The sequence below is a fragment of the Homo sapiens genome, chromosome 7 (assembly GCF_000001405.40).
Source record: "Homo sapiens chromosome 7, GRCh38.p14 Primary Assembly".
NCBI classification, from domain to species: domain Eukaryota; kingdom Metazoa; phylum Chordata; class Mammalia; order Primates; family Hominidae; genus Homo; species Homo sapiens.
The window spans coordinates 82,050,263-82,069,432 of NC_000007.14; the positions used below are offsets into that span (position 1 = coordinate 82,050,263).

General features: G+C 36.0%; 1 protein-coding gene across 16 annotated transcripts in view; it reads right to left on the reverse strand.

Annotated features, from left to right (window-relative positions):
* CACNA2D1 (calcium voltage-gated channel auxiliary subunit alpha2delta 1) overlaps positions 1-19,170 on the reverse strand; it is a 497,513-nt gene that overhangs the window by 103,819 nt on the left and 374,524 nt on the right. For 15 of the 16 annotated variants that reach the window (XR_001744873.3, XM_005250574.4, XM_005250572.4 and 12 more), the window contains exons 8-10: positions 16,193-16,262; positions 14,042-14,092; positions 10,166-10,265 (exon numbers count right to left, since the gene is read on the reverse strand). Coding sequence is in view for 15 of the 16 variants with exons in the window: in XM_005250574.4 (XP_005250631.1) it covers positions 10,166-10,265; positions 14,042-14,092; positions 16,193-16,262 (221 nt within the window). In the remaining variant the exon portion in view is untranslated. Of the gene's footprint in view, positions 1-77; positions 367-10,165; positions 10,266-14,041; positions 14,093-16,192; positions 16,263-19,170 lie in introns of those variants that run through there. The other variant, NM_001302890.2, reaches the window with a different exon arrangement.

The following is a 19,170-nucleotide window of genomic DNA, read 5'->3' on the forward strand; positions in this document are numbered from 1 at the left end:
TATAGCAGTTGTAAGCTAACAAGTAAGCCTCCTACAGTGTCATAGATAAAAGGCAGAAAAAATACAAGCCCTCTGAGTCAGAGACAAAGAGTTTATTACTCATAGCAACAGAGGAGCAGAGTAACATCTTTGTTTGCACAAGCTGCCCAAACCTCAATTCCCACAGGATGACAGGAGGACAGCCAGGGGTCACCTGCATAGGTAGTGAGATGGGTTTCCAGCCAGGAGTCCCAAGATGAGGAAGTCCCTGATCTTATACAGGGGCTTCTGATGGCCCACACTCATCCTCCCCTCCAGAGAGACACAATAGTTTAATTACTCTGCATTGAAAATCTCTTCGGGAGAAGGAGAAATCTCTTTACTATCCTGGAATGCAAATAAATCTGAATAAATTGGCTGTTAATGCTTAGACTTAAATGTGAAAGATTCATAAAGAAATGTCTCCCAACAGTTGGTGGAAAAATGTTGGAAGATGACACTAAATAACAATAATCATCATCATAATACATGATTACAATATATAAGCACTTTACATGTGACATTTCACTTGGTACTCAACAACATTTCAGCAAGTTAAATTATCCTGTCCATTTTTAAGATAAGGAAACTGACAGAAGCCCTAGGTTACTTGTGTAAGGTCATAAAACTAGTAGTTTCCAAAGCTGCACAGTTATTCCTATGCAATTCTACCAGTCCATCTAAGAGACAGGGTTGCCTGTGAAGAATGAGTCAAACCAGATGTGAGCTTACTAACACTGTCCATGCAGGGATAACGTGTTGGCAGGATCATTCCATCGCGTTGCTCTTTACTTGATATAAACCAACATATATTGGCTCCTTGAACCGCATACTGTGGGAAGCAAAGACTTTTACAATCTTTAGAATACCATATTCAGAATTATTGTTTATATAGACAAATAATAAGCACAGACCTGTCTCACACAGAGGTCTGGACCCAGGAAATCTGCAGGCTTTTATAGCAGTTGCATTTAGGGAAAAGCTTCCAGCTGGGAAAGGGCTCACCTTCCTTTCCAGCCTCCTATTTAGCTATGGTTCTTCACTTTTGACTTTGTACTTACATTTATAAACTGTCACTTCTAGGACTGCTGCTTAGCGACTACAATCTGGACAAAAGGTACAACTAACTTTTTAAAAAGTTATTTCCTACAAGCAAGAGCAAAGATATAAGGAATTATATTTTGATTATTTTTTTTTCTGGTAAAAAATCAAAGACAGTATTTTATAATGACTGTGAATTGGAAAAGCTTCCACGAGGAAAACTGACTCAAAGATCCTTAACATAATCATAACATGTGCATCTAATTCTTTAGTAAGAAATGTGTGGTTTTATTAAAAGACATGAAGATCTCCTTTGGTTGTTAACTTTTAGCATATTGTCTGCAATCCATATACATTTTCCCATCATCCTCCACTGGCTTGCAGTATTTTACTCCTAAAATGTCAAACTCCCTCACATTCATAAACAAATTCAAATCCCTGTGTCAACACTTGAAATTCTGCCTGCAAATCAGAACACGCTGTGATTGAATTGCTGCTCCTATCATCTACCACTGACTCCTATCAAAGCATATAACTGGATTAGTGGGAAAACAGCTACATTATGCTTGCATTTCAGCTTTGCTAACAGCAGGCTTCCTTTCTGCAACAAAGAACAACCCTGGAGATAGTAGAAACACTCAGAAATGATGCAGCGTTAGTTCTGACATCTTATACATGATTTAAGCATGAAAAATTACTGTTATTTTTAAAAAGAATGAAAGAAACTTAGAAAAATAACCCTAAAAATGAGAGGCTACTTGATTTTTCTGTTTGGTGGCTTCTGGGCAACTTTGGGAAAGTGTTAATATAGATTGCATCCTGAGTCTTTGGATGACCCACATTCTTTTGGGTATGAAGATAAAGAGAAATGCATGAGGTCTCTAAGGAAAAATTACGGTCAAAGTTAACTATAGAACCACTCCCTCCTTCCTCAGTGCCTTATTACTATGGATTCCTGAAGTTACAAAAGCTAAAGGTATATTGTTGCTTTCCTGGACTTTCAAACAGCTTTAGAGAGAAAATAAAATACACATGCACACATGCACGCACACATACAACTTGACATTATAAATATATTTTGAAGGTTTTTTTCCTGAGAATTTCCATATCAGTAAATTGTTAAATCTGTATTTAATGAGAAGGGCCTATATGTTAAAGATAAAAATGTAATTTTACTTTTTTCTTACCAGAATGTTGCATAAGAATCAATTCTCTTTACCTGTATCAATTTCAGACAGTATATACTCAAAATAAAGCAGACTAACTCATAAGACTGAAAAATTTCTTTAAAATTATGAATTTAACGTGGTTGACACTAAAGATTATATATAATGTGGTTGACACTAAAGATTATAAATGCAAATAAGAATATATGAAGTTTCATAAGAGCAAAAGATACACGGTAAAGAAAGTAAATAAATATTCCTGAAGATTTAGCCTCATAACTTTTTGGTTAAATCTAGAATCATGAATGAAGATGGCTACACTCCAGTTCTTTCTCTTTTCTTGGAAAAATTGCTAAGACTTTTTCTACTGTTTTCTTATCCGCAATATTAAGAATAGTAGTATTATCAACCTCACAGGGTTGCTGTAAAGACTAAACAAATTACTATGAAAAACACTTAGAACAGTGTCTGCCACTTGAACATTGCTTTAAAAAAATTAAATGGCCTGTAATCCCAGCACATTCGGAGGCAGAGGCGGGCGGATCACAAGGTCAAGAGATTGAGACCATCCTGGCTAAGAGGGTGAAACCCCGTCTCTACTAAAAATACAAAAAAGTAGCCGGGCGTGGTGGCGGGTGCCTGTATTCCCAGCTACTCAGGAGGCTGAGGCAGGAGAATGGCGTGAACCTGGGAGGCGGAGCTTGCAGTGAGCCGAGATGGCGCCACTGCACTCCAGCCTGGGTGACAGAGCGAGACTCCGTCTCAAAAAAAAAAAAAAAAAATTAAATAATTACCTATCAATTATGATTAAATAGAAGGTTAATGCACAAATAACAAAAATAATGAACACGTGTTTACTTTGGATTTTATTTGTACTGATTTTCTGAGGAGCAAATCTATGTCTCAATGTAATCACTTAAAATTATTTAGTGAGTTTTCAATCATAAAAATGTATTAATGATTATTTTGAAATAATAAAATTAAACAAAAGTGTACAGTTAACAAAACTTCAGAGTGTAGTTGACAAAAAAATGATATTTTTATAGTAAATAAGAGCCATAAACAAGTAAATAAGTAACCAAAACTAATTAAGCCTAAGGAGGAACTAGGAGCTGGGACCAGTAATACCAGGAGCTGAAACCAGTAATACGTATCTCCAGAAGCAGAGTGGAAAGTCACTATGACCTCATCTTTCAAATGTCTTCCTGATTATTTATCTTTTAAGTTCCATTAATTGTGCGTGTTTCAATATTACTTTTCTGCCCTGTTTATGACATATTAATGGAGGTATTTTAATAACTTTTAACTTGAGGTACTGAGGTGCATACTTCCAGGTGAAATGTATTCCCAGTTTTTCCTACGAGTAATATATTCTGTTTTCCCATATGCTTTTAGCTCACACATTCAAACCACACCAAATGAGTACACCCAGCTTAGGATTTACAAAGAGCTGTCAGTGCATCAGTAAAGTCTGTATTAACCTGGTTCACAGAAACCACAAGAAGATATCCTGCAGTTGTGTTTCTTAAGAAATTAGTTAACAATTTTCTTCAAATAAATACACGTTTAACAACATATTTTTTTTAGGAAAATCAATGGCCTTTAAAACTGGCAGGCTTTAAGAATCCCAATGCCCATTCTAAGTTCTTTAGGAAATAAATGTTAGTTGCTGACTAAATGTTGACAGTATAAAATTCATTCAAAGCTTGCTTAATCAGAAATCATTTTAAAGCATTTTATTGATAGCATTATTCAGTTTCTAATCAAGCTAGATGATATTGATGCCCTATCCATTTTTCCATTCATGTCAACCCAACTTTTAACTGCCTGAGATTGCAGGGAACCCTCTGCTGTTGCACATGGTGGTCTGGGAATGCCAGAGAATTAACATTACTTGGGAATAGTCATCAACTTTATATACTCCAGCATATTTTTCCCCTTGGAAGGGATAACTCTAATTCATGAAATCTATACTTATTCCCAGAGAAATAAGCTGCACTCACTCACAGTGGAAACTTGTTTGAAGATGAATCATTTATTAATTCTCTGCCTTGTTTTAATTCCCACATTTCTCTAAGTCTTTCCTAGAGTTACTTTCCAAATAAACCATTTAAGCTTGAATCCTTGTCTCAGTGACTATTCTGGGGAAAATCAATCTAAGCAGATACCAACCAGTGTTCTTAGTAAGCAGACCTTCAGAATGGGATTCCAGAACTGAATCATTTCCTAAATTACATACGGCAACAAAGACCCTATTTGTACCTGGGGGCACAGTCATCACTGGAGTCAAAAAACTCCTCAGATGCTATGGCAACACAATTGCTAAGATTTTCATCTGCAGTGATCAGAATAAAATACTGATTAATGGGGATGCACCTAGCATTTGAGAGACATGGGGACAACAGTAATCATAAAACTATGAGTTGGCTGGTTGTTGAATTTCACTGAAGAAAATGATAGCCTTATGTCAGCCAACTATCAACTAAGGCCAAAGTAAGAAAGCCAGAAAACCTGTGTGGCAACTAATTAAAAGATTCTCATTTCCCATTTTGGGAAGGTCAGCATGTGCTAGAAATTTGGCTCAGAATTTTCTTTTGAGAATCTCAGAATTATAAAGTACGCTGCATTCACAACCTTGGCAGCTTTCTATGCAAAAGTCAGAACATCAATAGGCAAGGAGAAGCACCCTTTGTACTAGGATGAGGACATCTAAGTGGACTTCAGAATATAAAATTCTGGATTCCCCTATACCCTCTGGACAGGCAAAAGTAACCTGTGACCCTTAGTTAGAGGGCAGTAGCTTCTGCGTTCCTAGAGACCATAAAAGATGATGCATACTTTCCTCATGATCTGATCCTATCTCATCTAATGGCTTTAGACAACAAAAAGGCCAAGTACCATTTGACCCAGCCATCCCATTACTGGGTATATACCCAAAGGAATATAAATCATGCTGCTATAAAGACACATGCACACGTATGTTTACTGCAGCACTACTCACAATAGCAAAGACTTGGAACCAACCGAAATGTCCAACAATGATAGACTGGATTAAGAAAACGTGGCACATATACACCATGGAATACTATGCAGCCATAAAAAATGATGAGTTCATGTCCTTTGTAGGGACATGGATGAAGATGGAAACCATCATTCTCAGCAAACTATCGCAAGGACAAAAAACCAAACACTGCATGTTCTCACTCATAGGTGGGAATTGAACAATGAGAACATTTGGACACAGGAAGGGGAACATCACACACCAGGTCCTGTTGTAGGGTGGGGGGAGGGGGGAGGGATAGCATTAGGAGATATACCTAATGCTAAATGACGAGTTAATGGGTGCAGCACACCAACATGGCACATGTATACATATGTAACAAACCTGCACATTGTGCCCATGTACCCTAGAAGTTAAAGTATAATAAATATGTGTGTGTGTGTATATATATATATATATAATTTTTTAAAAAAAGGAAAGAATCCCAAAAGGTTACATGACAATAAACCTACTCAAAAGTTAAAAAAAAAAAAAAAAAAAAAAGGCCAAGTATCAACACGGCCCACCTTGAAAAGTACAGTCTCTACTCCAAGAAAACAAAAGAAGATATTTAACAAAAGAGTTGCAGGATCTGCCTAATATGAACCAGAAGATACTGAGATAATATGCCAGGGAATGGATGTTTAGGGTTATTGAGGCAAAATATAACTGGCCATCAATATGTTGTGGAAAATAAGTAACCTACAATTAGAAAACTCATGGACTCCTATACAGTTATAAATGGCATGGCTGGTTGTCCAAAGTCCTAAAAGGATCAAGATTAGAAGATGTTCCTCATACATAGTTTTGGAGAAGCAACATGAGGATGGACCTATGGAGGTAGGCATGAAGCATAAAGATGTCTTTGTTTTGCATCAATGTGTGCTAGAGAACATTCGTCACAGAAAAGGCACTAAACAATTGGGTAGATAAGATGATCTGTCCACTGGAGATCATCCAGCTCTGTATGTGTCAACTGTACTGCTTGCAAAATAGGCCCATGAATGGAGGAGCTTGATAGTAGAGAGAGAGGATACACATGGGCCTAAAAGCTCCTCCAGTTTGATGCAACTACTGCCACTGGTAAATAACCAACCCACGGGAATAGTGTGATGCTGAGTCCTCATTATAGTACCACTTCTCAAAGAAAGCAACCAGCAACTCGATGTAAAAAATTATTATATTGCATTTTACCCCCTTGGAGAAGGGGTCAAATTTGTTTTTCCTATTATGGATACAAATTCCAGTTATGGGTTCCCCTTTCTTGTTCACAGATGAGGTGTCATCAAGTATCACTAATCCTCAGGTTCACAAATACTGACTGATTTATCGTGGGATACTGAATAACATCTCAAACTAAGCAACACATGTTATAGTACAGGGAGTCCAATAATAAGCACATGACCACAGGACTCACAGGGTCTACCATATGTTGCATCACTAGAGGCTGCCAGCCTGATAACATTGGGACAGTCTCCTCTAAAGGTACAACTAAGGCTCCAGCTTACAGATGAAAATCTGATTTGGGGATGTTGTCTTCAAAATGCGATATGTATTTTGAACCATGGTGCTATGTGCTGAAGCCAGCTTGTAACTGCTAATAATAATTTTTTAAAAATGGTTGAAATTTTCACGAAACTTAAAAGCCAGTTAACCTCACATTGGTAGCTTAAAATTGGTCATAGTGGGAATATTTGCATCATGAAAATTGGCAAATGCTACACATCAATTTTCTCCTCCACCCCCCTGGCTTTGCCCCTAAAAGGCAGAATGTATCAATATGAAAACCAAGGGGGTAAAGTAGGAAAGTCCCCTCTTACTATAATTAAAAGTGACCCACTTGGGAAAGGTGTACTTCTTGTCATTGAGACTTCAGGCTCCACTGAAATAAATGTTCTGCTTTCCAAGTGTGTATGTGTTGGGGGAAAGGGGCAGGTAATGCAGTGCTCCTATCAGGGTCCCAGAAAGAATTTAACTAAACCTAAATCTATAGCTACTATCTGAATATGCTTCAATTCTCATGCCAGTAGACCTACAAGAAAAAAAAAAAATAAGTGATGCTACTGGCAGGGTTCCAGTTGACAAGAGGAATATCATGGGTGTTGCTGCTACATAATGGTAAGAGGGAACTTGGGATTCGTTCAAGTATGTCTGTGGTTGGAGATAACTGTGAATGGACAACTGCAGAAACCACCATTTGAATGGGCACAGAAACCATGGATTCATAGGCCCCAGGAGGAGTAAGAGTCTGGTTCCTCCTATCAGGCAAGCCACCAGCACAGGAGTTGGCCAAGGCTGCAGGGAAATTAGGAAAGGTATTAGAGGAAAGAAAAGATGAGTATGAATTATGTCCTTGGTTCTAAATCTAGAAGTCCACCATCCTGATGTTCCATGTTTCTTTGTTTAAAGATTGTGACCAGTCTCCATCTTTAAGAATCATTGACTGGATAGACTGGATCCTGGGCCAGGCTTCTAACTACCAGCACCTACAACTTTTTGTTTCAGTACTCCCTCTTGTGCCCAGTCTGTTTTTCCCACACACAGGGAAGGCTGCTACCTAAAACCTCAGCTCCTTTGCATTTGGGGCAGGTTAACTCTGAAGTGAATATTACGTATGGCTTCCAGAATTCCTCAGAGAATTAAGTTCCTTTAAATTAAAGTAAGATTCTGTCATTGTTTCCTTCCATCCACTGCCTGACTTCTTTAAGTAGTAGTGTTTCCTGTGATCACCTCCCAAATACACTATTTATATTTGAATCTGCAAGTGAGATTCAGCTTCTCGAAGAAGTCAGAATAAGACATTCACCACATTGAATATCTGCTAGTTTTATATAAATTTCACCTAGATGTCAAATCTGCACTGGATTTAAGACTTTCTCTTTTGCTATGCCACAGATAGTATTTTTAAAGAACTATCCCAATGGTTTGTTATGAACTATATGTTTATATACAAATAAAGCCAAATAAGTATCTTTCCTGATGATCTTATTTGAGAGATCAAGTATTACATTCTACTTGTTTGCATTCTGTTGAAATACGTAGTGAGCTGACATACAGGGTCAGATAGATTGTAAAATCAGACTTAAATGAATCAGAGATCTTATGCAGTATCAAGTTTTAATAAATAATGTTGAGAATATGTTGAGAATATAGACAAGCTAAAGGACTTCTGAAGGTTCAGATGAAGTAGATAGAGGCCTCACACGGAGGAGGGCTTCCCAGCTCCTCCTTCCTGTGCTGAACACATTCTTCTTGCCCACATGAAGGGAAATCACAAAAAGAGTTTCACAGGGCTCCTTGTAAATTATAAAATACTTACAGTTTATTCCCCAGAGAATTATATCACCTGTGAGAGTGTTTTGCCAGGAACCTTGCCTTATAGGTATCGTGTTTTCCTATACCTACTCTTAGGCCGCGATACACCACTAAAAACATTTCAGGGATAAATTCTCTTCCTCCTAGTAAATATCAATAATCTAGCTACCTGGAGCTTCAGGTGAGAAGGGACTAAACAAAGTCTCCTGCCTTCTTCTTTCTAGTCTCCCTTGGTGAGTAAATCAATTTCAGACCAGCTACTTTAACTTCTTCCTCCCAAGTCATTTCAGAGACAGATCCATTTTTCAATACAAAATAACCCTTACCACAAATTCCTCGTCTTCACATCTCTATGAATATATTTACCTCAAGTGTAAATATATCTTCCAGAAAATGGCCATGAAATATTTTGCCTAAATTCTATGAATTAAAATGACACATGGTAACATTTGTTTGTCTTATTTCATTTGCTTCATAGTTCAGTACTTTCTAGCTATGAGTAGGAGGGTCTATGATGGTTCTGAGGAGACTTTAATAAGAGCACATTCAAATATCTATTGGTTTTTATGTTAACAAGAAAAACATACTATAAAAACATAATACATTATAGATATGTGTCCAAGATGAAATGAGGATGATAATGAATAGAAAATGCCATATAATCATACTGCCAAGTTGCTATTTTCTAGGAGTTTCAACGGTGTCCGTGAGTAAAGGGGCTCATATTACTTATTTAAGCTCTTCTGAGTGAAGGAGGATATGTGGAATGCTTTTTATTTATAGTCATTACTTCAATTACTTTAACCAGGGATAAATTCTTAGAAACTCAAAAAGGCTCCTGGCATAGAATTATAAGAAGATCCACGCGGCACTATTCACAATAGCAAAGACTTGGAACCAACCCAGATGTCCAACAATGATAGACTGGATTAAGAAAATGTGGCACATATACACCATGGAATACTATGCAGCCATAAAAAATGATGAGTTCATGTCCTTTGTAGGGACATGGATGAAGCTGGAAACCATCATTCTCAGCAAACTATCGCAAGGACAAAAAACCAAACACCGCATGTTCTCACTCATAGGTGGGAATTGAACAATGAGATCACATGGACACAGGAAGGGGAACATCACACACCAGGGCCTGTTGTGGGGTGGGGGGAGGGGGGAGGGATAGCATTAGGAGATATACCTAATGCTAAATGACGAGTTAATAGGTGCAGCACAGCAACATGGCACATGTATAAATATGTAACAAACCTGCACGTTGTGCACATGTACCCTAAAACTTAAATTATATATATGTATTATATATATATAATATATATATATAATATATATATATTATATATATATTATATATATAATATATATATAATATATATATATAATATGTATAAAAAACCTTAAAAAAAGAATTATAAGAAGATCAGTCGCTAAAATAGGACAGGTCAGTAAGATAGTCTTGCAATATATCAAAAATGTCTCAGCCTCTATAAGATAAAAGTATAAAGTACCTAAAGTCAGGAGAAGATAGAAATTGCAAATTTAATTCAGGAAAATGCAGTCATCTTATACTTACTGAAGCTACATTCACGAAATCATCATCTGAGAGGGTTTCTAACATTTCGGAGACAGATGTTCGGATCAGTTTAAGTGTCAATCCACTAACACTTCCACTCCTAGAAATAGACAAATGGGTCCATACATGTTACTCATCATGTATTTAATCAAGAACATCATAAGGAAAGATAATGTATGCACTGACCCTAGATCTTTTATATATTATTTAAATAATAATTTTGCCCTTGAAAATCAGTTTAAAAAGTTACATTTTTTGATAGAAGTGGAAATTATAAGAAATCCTGCCTTTTTTTCCTCCCAATATCAGTATGTGTACATTTCTAACTGAAATTATCAAAATTACATGTTAAGTGACAATTAAAAAAAAATATGGATACTGATGGTATAGTCACTCATTCGGTTCTGTTAGCCAAGTTAGAAGAGAGGAGTAGAGAGATTAATAGACATAGTCATTGCTCCAGGGAACCCATTGTTTGACTTGATTAAAACAATAATTATAAATCCACATAACAATTATGATAACAGATTTGCAAGAAAATGCCTTGTTCTGCATCCTAAAGTAAATATCCTCTAGAATTTATTCTTCATTTTTCTTTCCTCTACATATTCTACAATACTTGGTGACTTCACCTATGTGCAGGGCTGGCTCAACTCTAGGCAACTAACCCCCACTTCTACATCTCTAGCTCCCAACACTTTCCTGGTTTTATCCTTCGAGCTGCCTGCTGAACCACTACGACTGAATGTCCAAAATGACACATTACTTCCAAACATATTTTTCATTCCTATTTATGTTCTTGGTACCAAAGAGTCTATGTCTCAGCCATCCAATTTGTTCTTCCCTCTCAACCTTCCTGTGCATTCAGGCAAAATCCCTTATTCATTCCACTTAAGTGTTCCAAGGCTATGGTCCCCTCTCCATCCTCACTCCTCTCTGGCTCAGTCTTCATTATACGAAGATGCTGAGCTACAGTAATAGCCAGTCAACCCAGCAATTAGTCTCCTTCACATGCTAACAGGTGAAAGTTCTAGAAACACATCCTGACCTAATATTTTTAACAGCTCATAGATACCGACTAAATAGCCAGAAATCTCAATAGCCCTGTATTCCAATCCTTTCATTTTGGCATTTTCTCTCTCTCCTCCCTGTAACCACCCAACAGGTTCTTCCTGCCCGCTGCACTAACAAAGACCATGGCATTGCAGTAAAGAAAGAGTTTAATTGATGCCGGGCCAGTCATGCCAGACAGGAGATGGTGTTATTACTCAAATCAATCTCATCAAAGGCTCGGAGGGAGATTAGGGATTTTTCAAAGACAGTTTGATGGGCAGGGGACTAGGATATCAGTGCTGCTAACTGGTTGAAGATGAAATCACAGGGGTGTGGAAAATGGCCCTCTTGTGCTGAGCCCACTTTTGGGTGGGGAGCACAGGATTGGTTGAGGCACAGGTCCCCGTGGGACCATCTGCTAGAAATGCAAAAGCCTGAAAAGATATCTCAAAAGCCCCATCTGAGGTTCTAGAATAGTGATGTTATTTACAGGAATAATAGGGGAAGTTGCAAATCTTGTGACCTCCAGAATAATGGCTAGTAATTATTTAACTACATCTACATCTTAGTAGAATTCAAGTTTCTCTTATCCTATAATTTGGTAGCCTTTCATTAGTTTTATAAGGGCAGTTTCGTTTTAGGGAAGGGCTATTATCATTTAAACTATAAACTAAATTTCTCCCAAAGTTATCTTGGCCCACACCCAGGAATGAGCAGCCAATCAGCCTGTGAAGCTAGAAACAAGATAGAGGCAACCATGTCAGATTTGTCTCACTGTCAAAATTTTGCAAAGGCATTTTCAATCCTCTACCTCCTCCATAAATGTCCCCAGACTTACCTGTGCAGCTTCACTTCTGGCAATTCTTCCACCTGAAATTCCACTGTCTTTCCTCTCCCCTCCCATGCTTGCCTTTGAAAATATGAGCCATGAGGATTCAATCCCAATTTTATCTCCTTAATGCTTTCCTGATACATTAAATCAAGTTGCTATCTCTTATGTATTCCTTTAGTGCTATGTCATACTTTATATCTATTAATTTCTACAATTATTTTTGTTATTTGTTAAGGTCTAGTTTACCTAATACATTTGAATTATCTTTGAGATCAGGTACTATGTCTTTTTTTTTTTTTAATATACTTTAAGTTTTAGGGTACATGTGCACAACGTGCAGGTTTGTTACATACGTATACATGTGCCATGTTGGTGTGTTGCACCCAGTAACTTGTCATTTACATTAGGTATATCTCCTTTTTTTTTTTTTTTTTTTTTTTTTTTTTTGAGACAAGCTCTTGCTCTGTTGCCCAGGCTGGAGTGCAGGGTATGAACACAACTCACTGTAGCCCCCATCTCCTGGCCTCAGGCATCCTCCCACCTCAGCCTCCAAAATGTAGCTGGAATTACAGGTGTGTGCCACCATGCCCAGCTGGTTTTTCTTTTGTATTTGTTGTAGAAATGAGATATTGCTTTGTTGCTCAGGCTGGTCTCAAACTCCTCGGCTTAAGCCATCCACCTGCCTTAGCCTCCCAAGTGATGGGATCACAGGTGTGAGTAACCACGTCTGGTCTCAGTAACTATGTCTTAATCATCTTTGTTTCTATGTTACTACACTGTGTGTAGGAAGACCTCAATACATTTCTGTTGAAAGAATTTTTGAAAATAGTATTTAAATTTCATATACACTTTCAAGTTTGGGATATAAATTTGGCTTCTATAGATTTTGAAATGACATTATTTCTGGATATTATTATACATCCAACAGGATTATAATATATTGCATTAATATATTGATTTATACTTAAGAAGAATATCAAGGATTAGCATATAAGATCCATAATTTAATTAAAGTAACATGAGGCTTAAATGCATCTTAAGAAATAAAATAAGAATTAACATTTAAATTACATTTGTTGAATTCATTTATCTTCTCTTTCTCAGACTGGGTTATGAGGGTTTGGACAACTAAATTAAATTGGTTTACTTGAGCTTAAAATGGGGAAAATTCAAATGTTAATACTTGCCTGTGGGATTTAGCTGTCCCCAAATTACTAGATTTTGTTTCTTCCAATGAGACAAAGATTTTTTTTTTTTTTTCCTCAGGGAAAAACATGAGCATTTCTTCTCTTGAGGAAAAACATGAGTAACCTAAGCATTTTACACTTCATGTTTATTTTAATTCCTTGATTATTGCTCTTTAAAAAAGTAAATCTCCATAGCAGGATATAATCTTTTCAATTTCTACATCTTCAACCTTATTAGAAAACATGTACACTTGCAAACATACACATATATCTTGAATTGAAGCACTATAACAAAGAGACCAACATAAAAACTCAAGGAATTATTTTTTGTATATCACCATTTCACTTTTAAAAGTCCCAGATTTTTTTTTTTTTCTTTTCTGAGACATTGTCTCTTCACCCAGGCTGGAATACAGCGGCAGGAACATGGTTCACTGTAACCTTGATCTCCTGGGCTCAAGCAATCCTCCCACCTTAGCCTCCCAAGTAGCTGGAACTACAGGTGTGAAGCTACCATGCCCGAACAAGTTCCAACATTAACTTATTTAATATATTTCATATTTAACATTATATGATATGTAATATTAATATATGAATATCCATATAGATTCTCTTCATGTTTAATTAAATAATTTGTTTTATTATTGTCTTGATATGGCTTCATTGCCTGAATATAAAAGTCATCATAATTTTTCTTTGTTTCTTTTTTAACCTATCAAACCTTTCTTAGTCCCACCATACTACTGTTATCTACAAATCCTCCCATATTCTCAATATATAAATAAGTAGTATTTAACAACTCACACATCCACCAGAATAAGCATGTCTTTAGGAGATGCAGCTCCTTGGATGTACCTGAAACAAATATTGTAATAAATGCTTTTCTCTTCCAAAATATCAAACACTGATATTTGTTGAATTGATATTTACTGACTCTGAGACAAGGTTTTTTTCCCCAAGCAAAGACCCACTTCTATCTAAGTAGACAATGGTTTTCCATTCATATTCTTCAATGTCAGTTTGATAAAAGCAATATCCAATATAACAATAGAGATGTCAGAAGCATAATATTTAACATTTTTTGATATTTATAACAGAAGATGAAGAAACATATTTTAACTTTGAGAAGAACATTTTTCCTGGAAAAACAATTATCTAAACTCCAATTGTTGACCACAGGTTTAAAAGTCACTTTAATGAAAAATAGACTATCATATTTTTAAATGTAAAAAATAAGCACAAAAAATAGATAAGTTGCTTAGGAACATCAAAAAGCAATATCAACAAAAAAGAAATATAACTGGCCAATAAAGAGATTAAAATTAGGCAATATGTGATGTTATTACCAAGAACTTCAATGGCTCTCAAACTTTACAGTGTTTAAGAATCACCTGGGGAATCAGTTCAGAATATTAATTTCCAAATTCAACCCCGTGGAATCAGAATCTCTGCATTTTAAAGAGACTCTAGAAGAGATTTATGCAGATGGTTCAGTGGTTGTGGAGAGAGATCATCTTGATTGTGTATGACTGACCCAAAAGCTCACTCACGTTGCCTGGCCACCGACTGGAATGGGGCCTGACTTCTCCGACAGGAAGGGCTGCACCTGACATCAATTTTTTTACTTATTTCTGAAGCCATCACTGTAAATGTAACTTCTCAGGAGGCTGCCAGTTAACTTTCCAATTAGTTTTCAGACAACATACAGCACAATTAGTTCTATGTGTTGAGGAAGCAGTTGGAGTTTGTAACCTGCACCCTTGCTTGATAAGAAGGTAAAGTGGCAGAGTGGCAGGTGAATTTTCATGGACAGCAAACCTGGCTGATGCCTAGTATCTTAATGCTGGTCCAGGTATGCCACTCAGTGGGAAGATAAGAGAAGACAGGACATGTCTGCCTCTACTGATTGGCACCCAGCTTCTAAGTCTCCTCCAAAACAACCAATTCCTGAATTAAAACAAGACTATATATTAGTTTTTAGCTCCACTCAACAGCCCCATGGCTCCACAGGAAGAATATGTAAATTAGTAATAATTGTCACTATTAAACATGGTTGGTGTAGACATAAATTGCTACTGGGATATTTAAAAGGACATCTAAAAGCCTCTAAATACAAGTCTTTGGAATCAAACATTATGCTCTTGCAATTTGTCTGAAGCCTAGAAAAAAGTTAGAAATAACCTAAACGTCCAATAATAAGGGATTTCATAAATAAGTTTCCATATAGTCTTCATTCAAATGATGGTATGTGTCTTTTCTCATGAATATGTACTCAAAAGTTATTGATATGAAAAGTGTGGGATACAAAGCACTTATACTGTATATGTGAACTCATTTCTTAAAATTCACACATTAAATACATTTTTAAAAAGCAAATAAATACAATTAATAGTTTTAAAAAACCCAAAAATAGTTGTTTTCCAGTAAGTCCAATTACAAATTATTGGTATTTTTCCAGTTTTATGTTAGGAGAACAAGTTGCTTCAGTAGTGAGGAACAAATAAGTCTTCATTTTGGAAAAAAAATTAAACCTAAGCTATATGAATATAACTAGGGGCAGCTTTTACCTTGGGGCCAATTCTCATTAGTTCACTGCCAGAGGCAAATTATCTCCTACTCTATCTCATCTCTCTGTTGGAGCTCTACTCCAAGCAAACTGGATCCCTGCCATAGAAATCCATACCAGCTAAGAGGTGTAGTACTGAGATTAAATATAAAACTTAAAGTAGTCCATTTGAAATGAATGTGATAAATGGGTTCACCTATATTAATTAGCATTACCCACTTGAACTCATCATTTTCATTTACCTTTACCTATATTTACTTATTTTTAAAAATCAGATCACTTTCAATAAGTAGTTAATACTCATCCTAATAATAAAAAATTCTGACTTTTTAGCAAATATATATCTTCTTGCCTATTTTATCTTTTCATGGCTAGCTAAAAATTCTTACCATGGTCTTCTGCGTACATCATAAAGGTCAATCTTATTTGGAGTTCTACTATTATCAACCCATGGTGAAGCTAAAAAAAAAAAAAAAAGAGAGATATTAAATCAAAATATTAGATATGCTCTAAAAATAATGAGACTTTAAAAATCACAAAAAGCAATAGATACATAATTTCACTTACGTACTTCAATGTTCAAATGAGAGATATCATTTTTAAGCCCTTATATTGCTTTAACATGGAAAACAACACGGCAGTACAAAAAGGAAATCAATGATAGTCGATTCTCTTTTTACGAGTTATTTCAGAAATAAATTTACACATACAGTTTTTCCGGGTGCTAACTTAATATGTTTTAGTAGGTGTCCAGAGGTTATAATTTTTTTCCTAACAGAAAATTTATGTGCCACTAATGAAAATTGTGCTTTCAATTATTTCCTCCTTATATTTTCGTTCAATGCCATATTCTCTTGGTCTATATAAGACAGCTGTTTTTCTTGGGTTTTTATGTAATAGCATAATTTTACTCAGTCCATGGTAAAATAACTAAAAGGTCAGCTATAATTAAAACAACTCCATAGAAAGCTGTTTTCTTTAAATTTATTGTAATGATGTGAAGTAATTCAAGCGCAGATTCAACAATCTTGTATGACTTTCACAGCCTTTATCTTTTTGCAATAATCAGAAATAACTTCATCTAATTGTATTGATTTTTAAATGCAATTAATTTAAATCTATTCTAATTAAATTGATACTTACTTTAATTAAAATGCTTTACAAAGCTTTACATGCATGCACACCTTAGACCTAATGAAAAAAATAAATGCTGATGAATTGGATGATAATTTCATGCTGAAGTAGTCCCCGTACTTGGACATGTTTAAACATATGACTCCTGGGCAAATGCCTAGTTCATATGACTTACGTTCCCCAATCAATTTCGCTTTTCTGAGAAACTGTGGAAATTATGAAGAACTTTACTGAGAGTCAGGTTTATTAGCCAACTAAGATAATTTGGCCAATTAGGATATGTCAAAAACTATATACAATGAAACTCTTCCTTGACTGTGAAATTTTTTTCTTATTAGTAGCTATATTAAAAAATGATTTATTTGTTCTAAATGACTAATCATATTTACAAAGAATAGTAAGCTTAAATATAGCACTCTTCCAACCATTATTGACACAATCAATGTAACTGAAATGGTGAGTTTACTGCAATTTGTTCAATTTGCACTTGCAGAAAGTGAGAGTCTGCGATGTAAAATAATCCTTTTTGTGTGTATGTGTGTGGTAGCACTAGAATTAAGTAACAAGCATGCTGATACACACATCAGTTCACTTTCATTATCCCTCTATGATATCTGACTCTCCAAGATAGGGTCTTAGTAATACCTAAAATTTTATAGAAATTGTATCCTACTTTCAGTACCATGCTATGCTGATAATACATTTCCTGCCACTCAACTCCAAATGCATCCTTCTACCTTGCCCTATGAAAATGGATCTGGGCCCTTTCAATACTTTTCCTTTATCAGATGGCACAATTTCAAGGTTTGCCTGCAAATGATGCAAGACAGACACTGAATGAGAAAAAGGATTTTTCTTCCTTGTTCTGGTTTGTTTGCTCACAGGCTCTTGCAGCATGTGCTGCTGTCTGGTGTCTGTCTCCTGCACTGTCTGTATATTCTCCAGAGCTCAGCTCCTACAGTGTTGCAGTTTCCCCAGATTGCCCACTTCCAGCAACATGGCCAGCTTCACCAGGCTCAGGCTCTAATTTTGTCACCTGTACCCCTCCAGCCCCGCCCCCTGCCCCAGATATTTTTGTAGAGGAGAGCTTACAAGGAAAGACCTGGAACCTCAGAGGGTAAATTTCCAGCAAATCCTATCAGTGTGGCATAACAGTGACTTCTCCACCTTGGTGGGCCATGACCATGGCCTCTACAAGATGTTAACCTCAGCCCAGGGGAACTGGGGGATTAGGACCTCTGCCTTGGGCACTCTATCTCAACCCTAGAGGCAGTTGTTATTACACATTATATAATATTATATCGGATATTCATAAATCCTTTAGAGTTCTCTGTACTTCTAGCCAATCCCTCATTACTCCAATCCCTACTGTAGATAATTTTTTATTGAAAAATAAATTTTCCTTGTTCAAAATGCTGTATTTTTTCTCTCTTCTGATTGAACCCAGACTGACACAAAGGTAGATGAGAGAAGTGATTAGTTACCACTGCCAATATGACAGCAGCAATCCTGAGTTAAAAGTGGTCTGCAACGAATCTGATAAACAACTTAAAGAAATTGGAATTTGAAAGTTATGTTTCAATTAGATTTTTGAATTGTTTACCGATCACATTCATCTAGGATTTCTGTTGTCACTACCATTGCTAATTGAAATTAACTGTGATATATATTACTATATTCCATAAAATGTATATCTTTAAGGAAAGAAAAAAGTTAAAAGGCTATAATTTACAGTATGAGCCAGACTATTACATTTTAATATTGTTTATAACCTTAGGTGGTTTATATTTCAAAATATTAATAATCTTCTCTTAGAGGCTTTCTGAGATATTTACTCTTAGGTAGTATCCCTTGATTAAACCAAATTAAGATATTAATGTTATGGTAAAATTGAACAACATAATTTCTTCTGTGATATTACTAATTCCCTTGTTGTAAAATCCCATCATGTCATTTAAATAGTTCATTCCTTATATAGGCTCAGAATTATGAAAGATCAAAGAGTAAAAAGGCTAATAACCATACAAGTTAATTCCCTGAAATAATCAGTTTCATAACCATGCACAGTGAAAGCTGCATGTTTAGAAAGGGAAAGAGAACTTCCAAAATTCCTGTAAAAAGTGAAATGTTGCTCAGTTTAGATGACTTTTTAGTGTTTCAGGAAGATTTGGGGATGGGCAGAAAAGAGAACTGAAAATGACAGTTCACAATGTAGACGTCTCTTTTTTGAATG